The sequence below is a fragment of the Homo sapiens genome, chromosome X, assembly GCF_000001405.40.
Source record: "Homo sapiens chromosome X, GRCh38.p14 Primary Assembly".
NCBI classification, from domain to species: domain Eukaryota; kingdom Metazoa; phylum Chordata; class Mammalia; order Primates; family Hominidae; genus Homo; species Homo sapiens.
Genome location: NC_000023.11, coordinates 128,307,834 through 128,324,824, shown reverse-complemented (window position 1 = coordinate 128,324,824; position 16,991 = coordinate 128,307,834). Strand labels below are relative to the sequence as shown.

General features: G+C 34.9%; 1 long non-coding RNA gene and 1 pseudogene across 1 annotated transcript in view; one reads left to right on the top strand and one right to left on the bottom strand.

Moving 5' to 3' along the window:
- Window positions 1-2,628, top strand: part of LOC107985698 (uncharacterized) — a 375,495-nt gene extending 372,867 nt beyond the window's left edge. Inside the window, exon 7 of the long non-coding RNA XR_002958819.2 lies at window positions 1,151-2,628. This is a non-coding gene — a long non-coding RNA (uncharacterized LOC107985698). The remainder of the gene's footprint in view (window positions 1-1,150) is intronic.
- Window positions 10,777-11,544, bottom strand: RPL7AP72 (ribosomal protein L7a pseudogene 72; annotated as a pseudogene).

The window sequence follows — 16,991 nt, the reverse complement described above, 5'->3', positions numbered from 1 at the left end:
GGAATGCCCTATATAAATAAGTTAGTTATGACTGAAAACATATTTCATTATCCTATTGGATTCAGCCAAAAAGGTAGGGTGGGCTGTGTGATAGAATAAACAATAAAATTCAATTAAAATGTTAGGCTGAACATTTTACATCATATAGACAAAAAGATGTAATGATGTCATTGGATTTTCAGCTTTTTAATGGGTTCTTTTGGTATCTTTTAAAGGCAGCCAAATTTAAAGTCTGTACTCTTATCAAGGTCTAGTGTATGACTCATCTCCAACATATTACTAAGAATGTATTCTGATGATTCTCAGACTTAGACTTCTTCCTGCACACACACACACACACACACACACACACACACACACACACACTAGCTCCCCAGCACACATTTTGTAACACATGGACTTGATTTTTTCCTCTAATGGAACATCTTGCCAAATGTTTTGCAAATGAGGTCCTGGAGGACAGTGGATTATTCTTTTACATATTTGAGTACACTTGTGTGTTTAGTAGAGTTGTGCACAAAATAAGTGCTACTCATTGAATGAATTAATGAAATGACACAAAACACCTGGGCTACTTGAGTAAAATAGTATTCTTTGCTGCAGTAAATTCATGGAAAAGTGCTTGCTTCTGATTGTGTTCTAAGTATGATCTTCATATTATTTTCCAGAAATTCAGTGTAGTTTCAGGAAAAGTATACCAAGGTAATGTGGATGGCGGTGATTATCTTTTTGTGTGTATAGGAATTAATCTCAGGGGACATTTCTTAAATACTCATCAGCAGTGATTCATCCCCTTCTCTCTCTGAGCCATGGTGAAGTATCTCTTGAGTGGAGTAATTGTTTTGTTTACGCATTCACTGCTGCAAATGCAAGGAGTCTCCAGGTGATATGCCTAATTGCCTCTTTTTCCACCAAACTGCTGCACACTTTTCAATGGTTTTATCTTTAAAGGGAGCATCTCAATCTGTTTCTCTAATTGAGAACAAATACCATCTTCTAATTAAGAGATTTGTCAATGCAAGCAATGGGTTCCTGGTGTGTACTTTGGGGCAGGCAGAAGTTGAATCTAAGTATGTATTACTTTTTATCCCTCCAATGTTGAGTCAATCAATTGTGTGGGTTAATTTTTCCTTTTTTTTTTTTCTTTTAGGCCTGCCATTCATGCATTCATGTGAGAGAGACACTTTGGGCCTAAGAAATGAAGGCCAATTCATGTGGAGTCAGTCCTCTTATAACCACAGTAGGATAGAACTTGTTTCTGAGACCTTCAGAAGGACTAAGCCCTAGGCAAACAGCCCCAGTGAAGTCAGCTCTAAGGACATATTGAGGTAAGAACTAGGGAAAATTCATGTTTTATTTCCCTATTGCTTTTAAAATCCAATTTAAAATGTATTACCTATCAAGAGAGAATTCTCTATAATTTCGTGAAAATGATTTATATGGCTCCGGATATGTATTTTTTTGTCCCCCTTTTCCCCTCCCATTTACTCCTTCAGCCACAGGTAAATACTTTTTGCCATGACCTCTCTCTCTGTGAAATCAAACTAATATGCTAACTTTTGTTTGCTTTTCTTGTGCAACACTGCTGATGAGAAACATTTTGTCCTCCTTCGTCTATTTCTGTTATATTATTTTAAGACCTGTCATTATAATAAAAAATATCTTAATGCTGATAATGACATTGATGATGGTTATGATGACTTCAAGCTCTGCCCTAGACAATTAACTCCATAAAGGCAGGAACTGTATCTATCTTCTTTAGCATTTCATAAGGCAAACCCAACAGTGTCCCTGACTTGCAGCAAGTACTCAAGAAAAATATTTGTTAAATGAATGAAAATGCTAGCAGAGACCATTGGCTGAAAGTTTGCTAATATAATCTTTATATTTTATAATCTTTGTATTTTATATTTTTACAACCATCTTTGGAAACAGGTATTTATTATGCCGATTTTGCAAATGAGAACACTATCTTCAATGGAAGGATAACCACATCTACATTTGAAGTGTAGTTAGAGGGATGCTCCTCAAGCTTTAATATATATTTGAATCACCTGAGGAATCTTAATAAAATGCAAATTCCTATTCAGTAGTTCTGAGTTGAGGCCCAAGTTTCTGCATTTCTTACAAGCTCCCAGGTGATGCCCACACGGCTGTTCTGAGTGAGCCAGCACTCTGAGTAGCAACATTCCCTTAGAATTACCTGCAGATGAGTATGTAAAATTCAAATTATTGGTCTACACAGATATACTAAATCATAATCATAGTTCGGGAAATGAGAATCAGCTACCTACAGTACAAGCAATCTGGTAATTATTATGAAAATTAAATGAGTAAAGTGTGTGTTAAGTGCTTTATAAACCAAAAGTAGTATGTAAATATTAGAATAACATTTTTATTTTATAATTGTTACTATTATTATTGTTTGATGGTGACACAAATTTGATTTCTGTACCACTCCAAGCATGTATATTGGTTGTGAAGGCTGTTTTTACCAATATGTATCTACAATAAAATGTTCTAAATTAAATCGTTGGAATATAATTTTGGCAATTTTAAAAAAATACTGTAAATAAAAATGTGCATGTGCTGCATTTTACAATGGAAATAAAATATGTTTTTTCAGTATAATATCTACTAATCTCTAATGACCTAAAATTGTACTCACTACTGATTTGTTATAAAATTGAGGACAGGAATAGTTCCATATACATGCCTGTTTCTATGAAATAAAGTCCTACAAATGCATTTAATGCTAAATAATAGCAAAATAGCTACACATAGGGTATTAGAGCTTTGGGGTTCATTTAAATGAATACATGGATTTGAATGAAAGTCATGTTTGCTGTTTACTTGGGAAATAAATGAACAGGTGGCTCTCATGTCTTCCATACATCCATATATGTCTTAGCACTGAGCTAATTATTCTAAAATATACATCTTTATGGTTGAATTCCAGGTGATTTCTAAATTTGACATTTACGTGTTTAATTATTTATCATCACCTTAAGATTAAAGTTTTTTTCCACTTTGTTCAGTAAAGAACATTGCTGATATAGATGTACAAGAATCACTTGTTTTGAATTATTTTTAACTTTATAGAATTCCATTTTTGGAAAATCTGACATAGTGCTAAAATTTAGCTTTGGTCCCTTTCTGTCATCTTTTTCTCTTCCTCCAGTCTCAGGAAATTGTTGCCTGAAAATAATTGCATATAAATTTGACATCATTTAAAATAAAAGTCTTCAAAGGCATTTAAACCTATAAAATGAAAAAAAAAGATCACATTTGGATTATGGCAAGGGTACTAAAACTACTTTATCTCCCATATCAATCTCAATCCATTTGTAGTGATAACCTAGAGTACTGAGCTAAGACAGATTGTGACTAATTAGCAACGACTACTAAGTACATGAAACAAAAGAGTCCATGCCAGGTATTCTGTAGCTCGGAATTAGGACAAAATATCTTCAAAATTTGGAAAAGCACAGGCTTTGGAGTCAGAGGTACATTGATTTAAACCCCAGTCCTTGCTCATCTTATCTGAACTTTTTGAGTTTCAGTTTCTACATATGTGAAATGAGAATACAGTATCTCTCTTATAGTGTTATAGTGAGTATTAAATGAGAAAGCACAGGGAGAGTAACATAATTCCTGAACTCTTCTACACAGTGCCTCTGGGAAGGGTAGTTATTAGATTAGAATTAGCAAATGTGTAATTAAACATAGTTGCCACCTCATCCTTAGAAGGGCATCAGGCATTTGCATATCATCACCTAGAAAATCCTTGAAATACATGTATTTTAATTGAGGGCAGTAGACAAAGGCCCAAAGTTTTTATCTGGAAAGATAGGGAAGTGTGAGATGGTGTAAGATACCAGGGAGCAGGTAAATAACTTGAAATCACTATTTTTTTTTTCGAAAGACAAAAAAAAAAAAAAAAGAAGAAGAAGAATAGTGCTATAGTAAATGATGTGTTCCTTCCCAACTTTTCAAGTGGTCATGCAGGAAGTAATTGGGGGTGTTATTTAACCTCTCTCTGCCTTGTTTAAACTGGAGATTATAGTATATCCATTTCTAAAAGTTGTGAGAATTAAGTGAATCAAATGAATTAATATGAGAAAGTTACTTAAAATAGTACCTGATGCAGAGTAAGCACTATGTAAGTATTTGCTAAATGCATTTTAAAAGATACCAGCTTCAGTCAATACACTAAATAAATACTAACTACAAGAATGCTAGGCATGATGTGTTCTTTCTTTCTTTTTTCTTTTTCTTCCTTTCTTTCTTCTTTTCTTTTCTCTTTCCCTGCCTCCCTCCCTCCCTCTCTCCCTTCCTTCCTTCCTTCTTTCCTCTACATACTTTTTCTCTATTAGCATCATAATGAGACTTTTGTTTTTGTGAAACAAGTAGCACAACATTTTTCTGACTGTAAAATAAACCTTTTTCTCCCAATGTTTGGAAACAGTATACAAGATCCAAAAAGTTTGAACTTCCATTAAAGAATGTTTTTTTTTCATGGTTAATCAACAAATTGGGCACTAATGCATTGGTAAAGTTTTATTATAGCATATATTTCAACTATAGCACTCTTCTGCATTAGTTGTGCACTGGTGAACTGGTTTATCTTTCCTAGTAGCTTTAAACTTTTTAAGGAAGGGATTATATTTCCTTATTTTCTATTCCCAGAAGCTCCTAGTATTCAGTAGCTATTCATTATATTTGTTCAATTCAGTATACATGGTCCTTGCTTTTGAGAGACTAATTATAAATTAAAGATGGAATAATTTAAAAAAACAATGTTGATTAATTTAACCACAGGATATCTTAATGACCAATTCAATATGATTTAACAATGTAATCAAACCAAGGCTGGTGGTCTGATACATTTTGAGGGAAGTTCTCTAGATTAAAGTATCCTCATTGGTTGACAATATGCCAGTTTTTCTCAAGCTATTTGTTCTCCATAGCTATTAGGCCTACTGTGCCTTATGTAAACTTCTACAGCTCTGATGAATTTCATAGGATTGAGATGAATGACTTCATCTAAATAACAATAAAGCAAACTTTATATTGTATAAATTTTGTTACTGTTACTTAACTGACTCTACTGTGCCTTCTTCAAATCTGATCTCTCAAATCACTCAAAATCCAGGTCTCAACTTCATAAAGTAGGATATATAAGGCGAAGTAAGTTTGTTTCTAATCTCCAAGTAAATTGCATTCCAAAAATGTTCTCATCTTTGGGCCTATTTTTGTGAGTTCTTAAGGACTATCGCGGCTGCCTGAGCATTAGTTAGATCTATGGGCTACATGTTTGTTAGATGCCCTATATACTTTTTTTAAGTTGATAAATAATAATTATACATATCTATGGGGTGCATGTGATATTTTGATACATGTACATAATATATAATGAGCAAATCAGGTTAATTGGGATATCTATCACCTATCACATTATTTGTGTTGGGAATATTCTATATCTTCTATCTATTTTGAAATATACAATGAATTATTCTTAATATAATCACCCTACTGTGCTACTGAACACTAGAACTTACGCTAAGTGTTCTGTTGTACCGATTTACCAACCACTCTTCCAAGACACTTTTTGAAGTGGTAACCTACTGTCTCTTTTCTTCTTCTTTTTTTTTAAAGGTAGCAGTGCTCTGCAATTTTGATTAATGTAGTCATGGTCATCTCATGTTTCCCTGCTCTACAAACCTGGACATTAGCCAAGTTCAAACTGAGCCTTGCTTTGCTTTGGGAAAACATAGAGCAAAGCAAAGCTCAGTTGGAGCTTGACTATGAATTCATTAAGACTAATGTCTTTCCTGGTTCTTCAAATTCTATAAGGTACAGTTAAGAGTGTCTGACCTGAATAGGTATGTATACATATAAAGTCTACTTCATGTTCAGCCCAGCTCCAAAAAGTAATAAAAAGTGGTCCCATTTATAGAATTTTTATTTTAGAAAATGAAATTGCTACTGTGTATAGCTATCCTTATGCACACATATAGTGTATTCTTGATATGATATGGTTGTAACATCCCAATTTCAATATCTGAGAGAGTCCTCCAACTTAAAATGTTCTATTTCTCTACATCTTAGCAGTTTCTAATAACTCAGTGACTTAATATTGGCCCTCTGTGAATGCTAAAGCCACTAAACTGAATATTTTAGTCCAAAATTATTTTTCTAATTTATAGTAATAATGAAAATTACGAAGTTTACAGGGGTAAACATTTGTGGGGGTAGATCTTACAATATTCTGAACATGGTTTATTTAATGGTCCTTTCCTGGATTTTGAATATTGTGTATAGTCTGGAGTTTGATAATAGTAAGTATTTTATCTATCTATATTTTCGTATTTTGGTTGACATTTCCAGGACAAAACATTGTTATAGCCAAGAACCATATTATGTAATAAGCCATCTTCTCCTTCTAGCAGTATGGAAAATATACTCCTCAACACAAATTAATATAGAAGTAAAAATAAACATAAACACTGAAGTTACAATACCATAGTAGCAATATACTTACTCTGACCTGGCATCTCTTATTGGTAGAATGTATGTATAAATCAATTTTATTTGGAAAGACTTGGCCAGTTTGTTCAGCGAAATATTAGCATTAGCATTGTCACTCCTGCCAATCAGTTCTAGTCCCTGTATGTAATCCAGTATCTAGTGTAAAAGCCTAAAAAAAAGAAGGCAAAAAATTAGTTTGTCTACATTAGCATAATTTAAATGTTCATATTTTCTTAGTTTAGTTTTATTTGAAGCAATCAGTGAATTTATCTTGCGACTATTCTTTAAACATAGATCCTTAATTTTTCATCTTAAACCATTTTAGAGATATGCTATAGACATAGCCTAAAATTTATGTTTCAAAAATCTTGTGTTTTGAAAATATACAAAAACATAACATTCATCTATTGTCTTCTTAGTAATATTAAAATCTAAAATATATAGATAAAATTACAGGAAACTCATTTTTAAAGAGAAAAAGTTATAATAAATAAGTATTTCTTTATTTTTAGGTGTCCATTTCAGTTCATTCAGTACAGTTGGGTCTGATACCCTCAGACTTCACCACTGGCATCCCTTATATTCAAGCATCCTTTATTAGCAATGTATTATTATGGTTAAGGCTTTAGAATTAAGCCTGTTTTAAAATCAATTTATGGTTACGACTTCAAATATATGCCTTTTCAGAATTTATTTGCATATCAGCTAAAATGCCACAATGCGAGAAAATTTACCTATCTAAAAATAAGTAAGATAATACTATGAATTTAATGAGATTATATATGCAAAGTACACAGTACTTAGCACATAATAAGCTCTCAATAAATATTAGTTAATAGTAGTGGTATTAGAACTAGAAATACATGCATGGTGAATTTTGATTACAGTCTATGTTCTTTTATTATGTGCTTATCATATTTATTATTTACTTATTAATCACAAAATTGGTTATATATTTTGGATTTGATTTAATACTTTGAATTTGACTACTCTAACGAGTTGCCAATAGTTAACTTATTTAAGCAGAGTCAGTAATTATGAATGGGTAAACTTTCTAGAAGTTAATGTAGAACACATTGAGAGTTACAAAAGTGGTTGTCCTTTAGGGGAAAAGGGAGCTGAGATAGATGGATATGGTTTCTTTTTTTAAATTATTGTTTTATTTCCATAGGTTATTGGGGAATAGGTTGCGTTTGCTTACATGAGTAAGTTCTCTAGTGGCAATTTCTGAGATTTTGGTGTACCCATCACACGAGCAGTATATACTGCACCCAATTTGTAGTCTTTTATCCCATACCCCCTTGCCACCCTTTCCCCCTGAGTCTCCAAAGTTCACTGTGTCATTCTTATGCTTTCGCATCCTCATAGCTTAGCTTCCACTTATGAGTGAGAACATATGTTTGGTTTTCCATTCCTGAGTTACTTCACTCAGAATAATAGTCTCCATTCTCATTCAGGTTGGTGAAAATGCCATTAATTAATTCCTTTTTATGGCTCAGTAGTATTCCATCATTATATATCTATATCCATCTATATATATATATCTCTCACAATTTCATTTTCCACTCGCTGATTGATGGGCATTTGGATTGATTTCACATTTTTGCTATTGTGAATTGTACTGCTCTAAACATGCATGTTCAAGTATCTTTTTTGTATAATGACTTCTTCCTCTGGGTCGATAGCTGGTAGTGGGATTGGTGGATCAAATGCTAGTTCTACTTATAGTTCTTCAAGGAATCTCCACACTGTTTTCCATAGTGGTTGTACTAGTTTACATTCCCACCAGCAGTGTAGAAGTATTCCCTACTCACTACATCCATGGTAACATCTATTATTTTTTGAAATTTTTGAGTATGGCCATTCTTGCAGGAGTAAGGTGGTATTGCATTGTGGTTTTGATTTGCATTTCCCTGATCATTAGTGATGTTGAGCACTTTTTCATATGTTTGTTGGACATTTGTATATCTTCTTTTGAGAATTGTCTATTCATGTCCTTAGCCTATTTTTTGATGGGATTGGTTTTTTCTTGCTAATTTATTTGAGTTTGTGGTAGATTCTGGTTATTAGTCCTTTGTCGGATATATAGATTGTGAAGATTTTCTCCCACTCTGTGGGTTGTCGGTTTACTCTTCTGACTGTTCATTTTGTCTTGCAAAAGCTCTTTAGTTTAATTAAATCCCAGCTATTTACGTTTATTTTCATTGCATTTGCTTTAGGGTTCCTGATCATGAAATCCTTGCCTAAGCCAATGTCTAGAGGGGTTTTTCCAAAGTTATCTTCTAGAATTTTTATAGTTTCAGGTCTGAAATTTAAGTCCTTGATGCATCTTGAGTTGATTTTTGTTTAAGGTGAAAGATGAGGATCCAGTTTCATTCTCCTACATGTGACTTGCCAATTATCCCAGCACCATTTGTTGAATAGGGTGTCCTTTCTCCACTTTATGTTTTTGTTTGCTTTGTTAAAAATCAATTGGCTGTAAGTATTTGGGTTTATTTCTGGGTTCTCTATTCTGTTCCATTGGTCTATGTGCCCATTTTTATACGAGTACCATGTTGTTTTGATGACTATGGACTTATAATATAGTTTGAAGTCAGGTAATGTGATGCCTCCAGATTTGTTCTTTTTGCTTAGACTTGCTTTGGGTATGTCGGCTCTTTTTTTATTCCATATGAATTTTAGGATTGTTTTTTCTAATTCTGTGAAGAATAAAACACTAGGACTATACCTAACCAAAGAGGTGAAAGACGTCTATAAGGGAAACTACAAAACGCTGCTGAAAGAAATCATAGATGACACAAACAAATGGAAACACATCCCACGGTCAAGGATGTGTAGAATCAATATTGTGAAAATGACCATACCGCTAAAAGCAATATACAAATTCAGTGCAAGTCCCATCAAAATACCACCATCTTTCTTTTTTTAATAGAATTTTCATCTGGGAAAGCTTTCACTTATGTCATGCTTCTTTTTTTATTTATATAAATTTATGTGGTACAAGTGTAATTTTGTTACATGCATAAATTGTGTTGCAGTGAAGTCAGCCCTTTTAATGTATCCATCACCAAAATAACGTACATTGTGCCCATTAAGTAATTGCTCAGCATCCCCCACCCTAGTCCCATCTTCCCATCCTTCTGAATCTCCATTGTCTGTCATTCCACACTCTATGTTTGTATATACACAGTATATACCTTCCACTTATAAGTGAGAGCATGTAGTTTTGGGCTTAACATAATAACAAATATTTCAGGAAGCATCTTAAGGTTAAGCTAAATATGCCACTTTTTCTGTCCCCTTCAAGTTGGCATATCATTTTCAAGATGGCACTCATATTCATCTTGGTTTATACATAAAAAACTTCAAACATTTTTCAGATTATGTGGTTATCCAAATAAAGTGCCAGATGTGCATGTCAGTCAATCTTGTAAGATTTACAAAATGTACCTGAGTTGTAATAGTTGAAGAATTAAGTGGGAATATCAGGCATGACATTTTGTTGCTAATATAGACACACAAACATTTCATTTAAAAGGATCAAAACAAAGAAAAAACAATATCAAATATAAATCCTTAAGTTTATCAGTCATACAAATCTAATAGAAGTTGTAAAGTGAAAACATTTTTATTTTCCTGGAACTTAAAATCTTGACTTGTCCTATTCAGAAAAATTAAATATTCTTACCTGAACATGTCAGTTACTATGTCTTTTCTGTTTAGTCCATTTCAAAAAGAAAAAAAAATCTTAAGCTCATGTAAGTTTTGAGTAGATTGAATTATTTTCTATTCGATTAGTCACTACTATTCATGCAGAAATAGAACTTTATATCTCTCACCAAATTTTCAAGAGAGTCATTGTTGATTTAAGAAAAAATATATAATTGTTAATTAAAACAGCATTGTCTTCTTGTCAAAAAATCGGGTAAAAATGTTGAAAAATTATTATTAAACTAAACTAAACTTTTAAAATGTTCTCAAGTGGAGGTAATAAAATATACAAATTTCCTACAGTGTGGCAGTGCAAACGTGTGAGTGTGTGTGTATGTGGAAATATAAATACAAATTACATGTGGCACCATTACAAATGGAACAAGTCTTTCTCTCAAATAACTAATTTTTTAAACTTATCCTACAGTGGTTCATAGGTAAGTTCCAAGTTTGAAAACTAGCATGATGTTTTAACTTTTTGAACGAGAATTTTCATTATTTTTATGTACAAAAAAACAGTGTACATTTCACTCACTTTAGTGGCAAGTTATTTTAGACTTTGCCTTTTCCAGATTGGCAATTTGAGTCACAGATTTTAGGTCCAGAACTTGCCTCTCTAGAGATGGCAGATCTCATTATATCTGCCATTGTGCCCACCAGCTTAGCCAGAGCTCCTTATGTCTTCCGAGTTAACCGGTGTGAAGGCAGTGGTGGTGTAAGTCTTCCTCTGGATTAGTTGTCCCCATCTGGCCTTCTCCTTGATAATCCAGTAAGAAATCTCCACCTAACATCACATAGCAGGCAGAAACATAACCAGTTCTATGAGATCCATGTTATGTACAGTAACCACCAGCTGAGCCTTCTTGTTCTTCACCAAGGAAGTGACAGTGTTAACACCTGCTGGAAGGACTGGACGTCTCTTAGTGGAGACATCCCCATTGCTGGCAGCTTTCTTCTCTACCTGGATCCAACAGTATGTGCTGCTTCCCTTGCTTTGCCTCTTGTCTGTACTTGTGGGCAAGCTTAAGCAGATAAGTAGCTGTTTGGTGGTCCAACGCCTGTGTGGACTGGTTAATTTTGTGAAGCACTTTCAACTGCTTATAGGAGACAGGCTTTTGCTGTGGCAGCTGGATGTAGCAGGGCCGTTTGACAAGGTGGATGAGCTCCCTTTTGGGCTAGATGTCCTGTCCAGTACCCAAATTATTGGGCCTTTTCTCAAACAGGAGATTTACCACCTTTTTGCCCTCCTGTTTCCTCACAACAGCAGGGGCCTAGGCCCACCTTCTTTTTCTTGGCCTTTCTTTTCAGCATCTTGGGTGGCCTACTGGAGGAGAGAGGCTTTTTTCCTGTTTTTATAAAGATGTTTTATCTTGACATTTTGTTTTTTTTATTTCAATAACTTATTCAAGAATTCATTCAACACATATTTATCAAGTAAACACTGTGTTGCTAAGTGCTGTCTTAGCACTATATTATGAGGTAAACCAAACAAGCAAGGGCTTTGCCTTCACAAACTTTCAAATCTAAAAAGGATACATCGGTATTGGTTAGGTCATACAATTTACATATAACTGCAATTCCAAAAATGTTCAGTATTATCAAACTCCTACCTAAATTTAGTCATTGTATACATGGTTTGATTTTGAGTTACACAAAATATTTGTTTTATTATTTTAAAAATATGAACTCCTGCTCTGCTAGGTAGATTAAATTCTTTTCAATATGATGTCCAATCAAATTCTTAAAAACACGAAGCACTAAAATGACAAAAAGGACAATAAAATCTGCCACATTAAACTCACACTTTGATGTGCAGATTTTCTGTAGTAACAGTAACAAATGTCAAGACAAAAATCAGACAAAATTAAAGAATAAATAGAGCTTTGTTTGAGGTGCCAAATAGTTTTTAGAGTTCAATCTACTTTGAAAAATATATGATATGCTTGCATATTCCAAGTTGCATTTTGTAGGCATTTACCAGATTCTTACAGAAGATGTGTTCGTGTCTCCTCAAAACCTTTATTTAGCTGTCTAAATAGTTATTGACCTTCAACTGAATCTTATTTCCCCAGAGAAGTCATATAAATGCCAAGGGTTAACTTTACTTTTATCATGTACCTTCCCCCTTTTATGTATAAATTTGTGTGTCATACCTAATAGGTCTATGCTTTAAAAATTTCATCTATCAAAATGTTTATTGAATGTACATTCTGTATAAAATCCCCAAATAAATTCTCTGAAGAAAGAGCTAAAAACAGACTTAAAATACTGTATAGTATTAGTTACCTAATTCTAATTAAATTTCATGATGGTATAATAAAATGGATTTGACATCCTAGTAATGTGTTCTTATTACATGGATTTTAATACACCAGATGACAAATCAGATTTTTAAAAGTAAAAAGAATGTTTTAAAAATACATAGATGGTACTTTATAGGTTCCTTTTTGCAACTGGATATTGCCATAGAAAATATGGTCAATGATATGGTTAGACTGCGTGTCCACACCCAAATCTCATCTTGAATTCTAATCCTCAGGTGTTTAGGGGGAGACCTGATGGGAAGTGATGGGATTTTGGGGACGGTTTCCCCTATGCTGTTCTTGTGATAGCGAGTGAATTCTCACAAGATCTGATGGTTTTATCAATGGTAATTTTTCCTGCACTGGCTCTTCTCTTTCCTGCCACCATGTGAAGAAGGTTCTTGCTTCCCCTTTGCCTTCCACCATGATTATAAGTTTCCTGAGGCCTCCACAGCCATGTGGAACAGCAAGTCAATTAAACCTCTTTCCTTTATAAATTACCCAGTCTTGGCTATTTCTTTATAGCAGCATGAGAACAGACTAATACAGTAAATTGGTACTGCAGAGAGTGGGGTACTGCTATAAAGATACCTGAAAATGTGGAAGTGACTTTGGAACTGGGTAAGAAGCAGATGTTGAAACAGTTTGGAGGGCTCAGAAGACAGGAAGATGTGGGAAAGTTTAGAACTTGCTAGAGACTTGTTAAATGGTTTTGACTAAAATGCCAATAATGATGTGGACAATGAAGTCTGGGCTGAGGTGGTCTCAGATGAAAATGAAGAACTTATTCAAACTGGAGCAAAGGCACTCTTGCTATGCTTTAGCAAAGACTTTGGGGACATTTTGCCCCTGACCTAGAGATCTGTGGAACTTTGAACTTGAGAGAGTTAATCTAAAATTGAATTTATGTTAAAAGAGAAGCAAAGCCCAAAGTTTGGAAAATTTGCAGCCTGACAATGCAATAGAAAAAGAAAAACCCATTTTCTGGGGAGAAATTCAAGCCCACTGCAGAAATGTGCATAAATAACGAGGAGCCAAATGTTAATCACCAAGACAATGAGGAAAATGCCTCCACAGCATGTCAGAGATCTTGGCAGCAGCCCCTCCCATCACAGGCCCAGAGGCCTAGGAGGGAAAAATGGTTTTCTGGGCTTGGTCCAGGGTCCCCCAGCTCTGTGCAGCCTTTGGACTTGGTGCCCTGTGTCCCATCTGCTCCAGCTCTAGTCATGGCTAAAAGGGGCCAACGTAGAGCTCGGGCTGTTGCTTCACAGAGTGAAAGCCCCAAGCCTTGGCAGTTTCCATGTGGTTTGGTGTTGGGCTTGCATGTGCACAGAAGTCCAGAATTGAGGCTTGGGAACCTCCACCTAGATTTCAGAGGATGTATGGAAATGTCTGGATGTTCAGGCAGAAGTCTGCTGCAGGGGTGAAGTCCTCAAGGGGAACCTCTGCTAGGGCAGTGCAAAGGGGAAATGTGGGGTTGAATCCCCCACACAGAGTCCCCACTGGGTCACTGCCTGGAGGAGCCATGAGAAAAGGGCCACCATCCTCCAGACCCCCCAGAATGGTAGATCCACCAACAGCTTGTACTGTGTGCCTGGAAAAGCTGCACTCAAGGCCAGCTATGAAAGCAGCTGATGTGGGGGCTGTACCTTGCAAAGTCACAGGGGTAGAGCCACCCAAGGCCATGGGAGCCCACCCTTTGCATCAGCATTCCCTGGATGTGAGACATGGAGTCAAGGGAAATTATTTTGGAGCTTTAAGATTTAATGATTTCCCTGCTGGATTTTGGACTTGCATGGGGTGGGGCCTGTAGCCCCTTTGTTTTGGCCAATTTCTCCCTTTGGGAATAGGATCATTTACCCCATGCCTGTACCCCTATTGTATCTTGGAAGTAACTAACTTGTGTTTGATTTTACTGGCTCATAGGTAGAAGGGACTTGTCTCAGATGAGACTTTTGACTTGGACTTTTGGGTTAATGCTGAAATGAGTTAAGACTTTGGGATACTGTTGGGAAGGCATGATTGATTTTTAAGTATGAGGACATGGGATTTGGGAGGGGCCAGGGGCAGAATTATATGGTTATGCTTTGTGTTCCCACCCAAATCTCATTTTGAATTGTAATCCCCAGGTGTTTAGGGGGAGACCTGATGGGAAGTGATTGGATTATGGGGCAGTTTCCCCCATGCTGTTCTCATGATAGTGAGTGAATTCTCAGGAGATCTGAGGGTTTTATAAGTGATTGTTTTTCCTGCACTGGCACTTCTCTCTTCTGCTGCCATGTGAAGAAGGTCCTTGCTGGAGAAGGGTCACCTTCTACCATGATTGAAAGTTTCCTGAGGCCTCCCCAGCTATGTGGATCTTCAAGTCAATTAAACCTCTTTCCATTATAAATTACCCATTCTTGGGTATAACTTTATAGCAGTCTGTGAACAAACTAATACAGTCACTTCTCTGGAAGTTTTTGAAATCTGCTTGTCAAACAACTACCTTACTTATAAAAAAGAAAGATGAACTTTGGAGATAATAGAACATTTGGCTAATTATTTTTGTAAAAAACAGTGAAAACCTGAAACTACAGTGTTTTATTTCCAGAATACAATACAGATGTTCATGTATGGAGGACAAGATTTTATGTCATAGTCATCCATATAACCAGGTGATGTAAGCGAGTATATAAGTCACTCTGAGTAACAGAATTGATTGAACTGAAATTACAGAAAAAGGCACAACCCAGTCTGAAACTGTGAGCAGTCTCTGTCTAGCATAGCATTTATTTGACTCACTGTGGGCCCAGTATATTCAGCAGAGAGATAAGCATATAGGGGCAATATTTGGGTTTCTGTTTTGCTTTGTTTTGTTTCATACAGTTTCAAGATTAACCTAATACTTGATGATGACCAAGGCACTCAGTGCTTTGCATGTAATGATTTTTTTTGTAGATTTTTAAAATCATGGACTTTTAGAGTCTTAATGCTGATAGTTCACTGTGAACTTCCTGTAATTATTCACTAGTAAAAAATATTCTCCAATAATTCATCATGAGTTATCCCAGGATACCTCAGGCAATGGATAGTTCATATGGAAGAAATAGCATGCTGATTTGTAATTATAATTGAAGAAAATTGCTTGAGAGGATTCTGACAGCACAGAAAATAGGCCAATTAGTTACCCAACTCTCATCCTCCTGTGATTCATGATTGTCTCCATTTACTTTTGCTGTCATTTATGAAGTGAGGTTAAGAATAGATTAGCTTCTTTTAGCCACATCTTACAATTAGCTTACTCTTTTGCTGCTGCTGCTTCTTTTTTTAACAGTATGATTGGGTTTAAAAACCAGTGGTCCTCAAAACTGTATTTAACAGTTATTCATCATCAAGCACTTGCTAATGTTTAAAACCACTTGATTCAGTGTCATAGCCTAACAATCATGCTCAAATAGGGTTTTTGCCCACCAAAAAAAATCATCAAGTGCTACTTTGTAGCATATAAAATCAAAGCCAAGAAGATAAAATAAGCTTTGGCCAAGTAAATACATATTAAGGTTTTAAAAATCAATTTTATAAAGAAGCAAGTTCTTTATTTAAGACTAGAACAAAATAAAAGAGCAATATGAAAGAAAACAACTACCTGTAATATAAAATCTAGCAAATAAACATTTCCTCCTATGCTTCTTCCTTTTAAATATGTCAAAATCTTACTCATGCTTCTTCTGAAAGGAAAAATGAAGATCGTGAGAATAAGAATATTTTAGTTGATGCAGACATTGGAAGGTCATCATATTTACTCATGTTTGTATATAAATTGGTTAATAAATTTTTTGTAACTGAGTTTGAAGGATTTGCTTGTGTGTGTGGTGGTGGTGGTGGTGGTGTCTTTCCAACCATAAAGGCTTCTTAAGGATCAGAATAAGGCTTTTGCTTATCTAATGTTCCACCTAAAGAACCTACTTTGTCCCTGAGCTCACAGTAGGAATAAAGTGTTTATGTGCAGACACAGGAATCAACAAATGAAGTCTATTTACCTGTGCTGAGAAGTTGTCCTGTTATATCCAGAAGCCACAATGTTATGTTTGTCACTTTAATTGATTTACATAATATTTGAAGCAATCTAGTGTGGATTATTTAGTTAAGCCCTCAAAAGACTTCAGTATGGAGCTATAATACTCTCTAGCTTTTATTTTTCATGCCAAAACTTTCTCTTAACATCTATCTATCTATCTACCTATTTATCTAACTACCTAATATATCTATCTAATCTATCCATCAATCTATCCCTCTATGTATCACACATCTCATATATTTATCTAAATTTAAGTTAAATTATTTTGAATATTTTGACATATATGAGAAATGGGATCAGTTATAAAACCTGATAAAAGAATTTCTGATTTATACATCAATTACACATTTAATTGGGATAATTATTTGGCAATTCCTTGAGTTTTC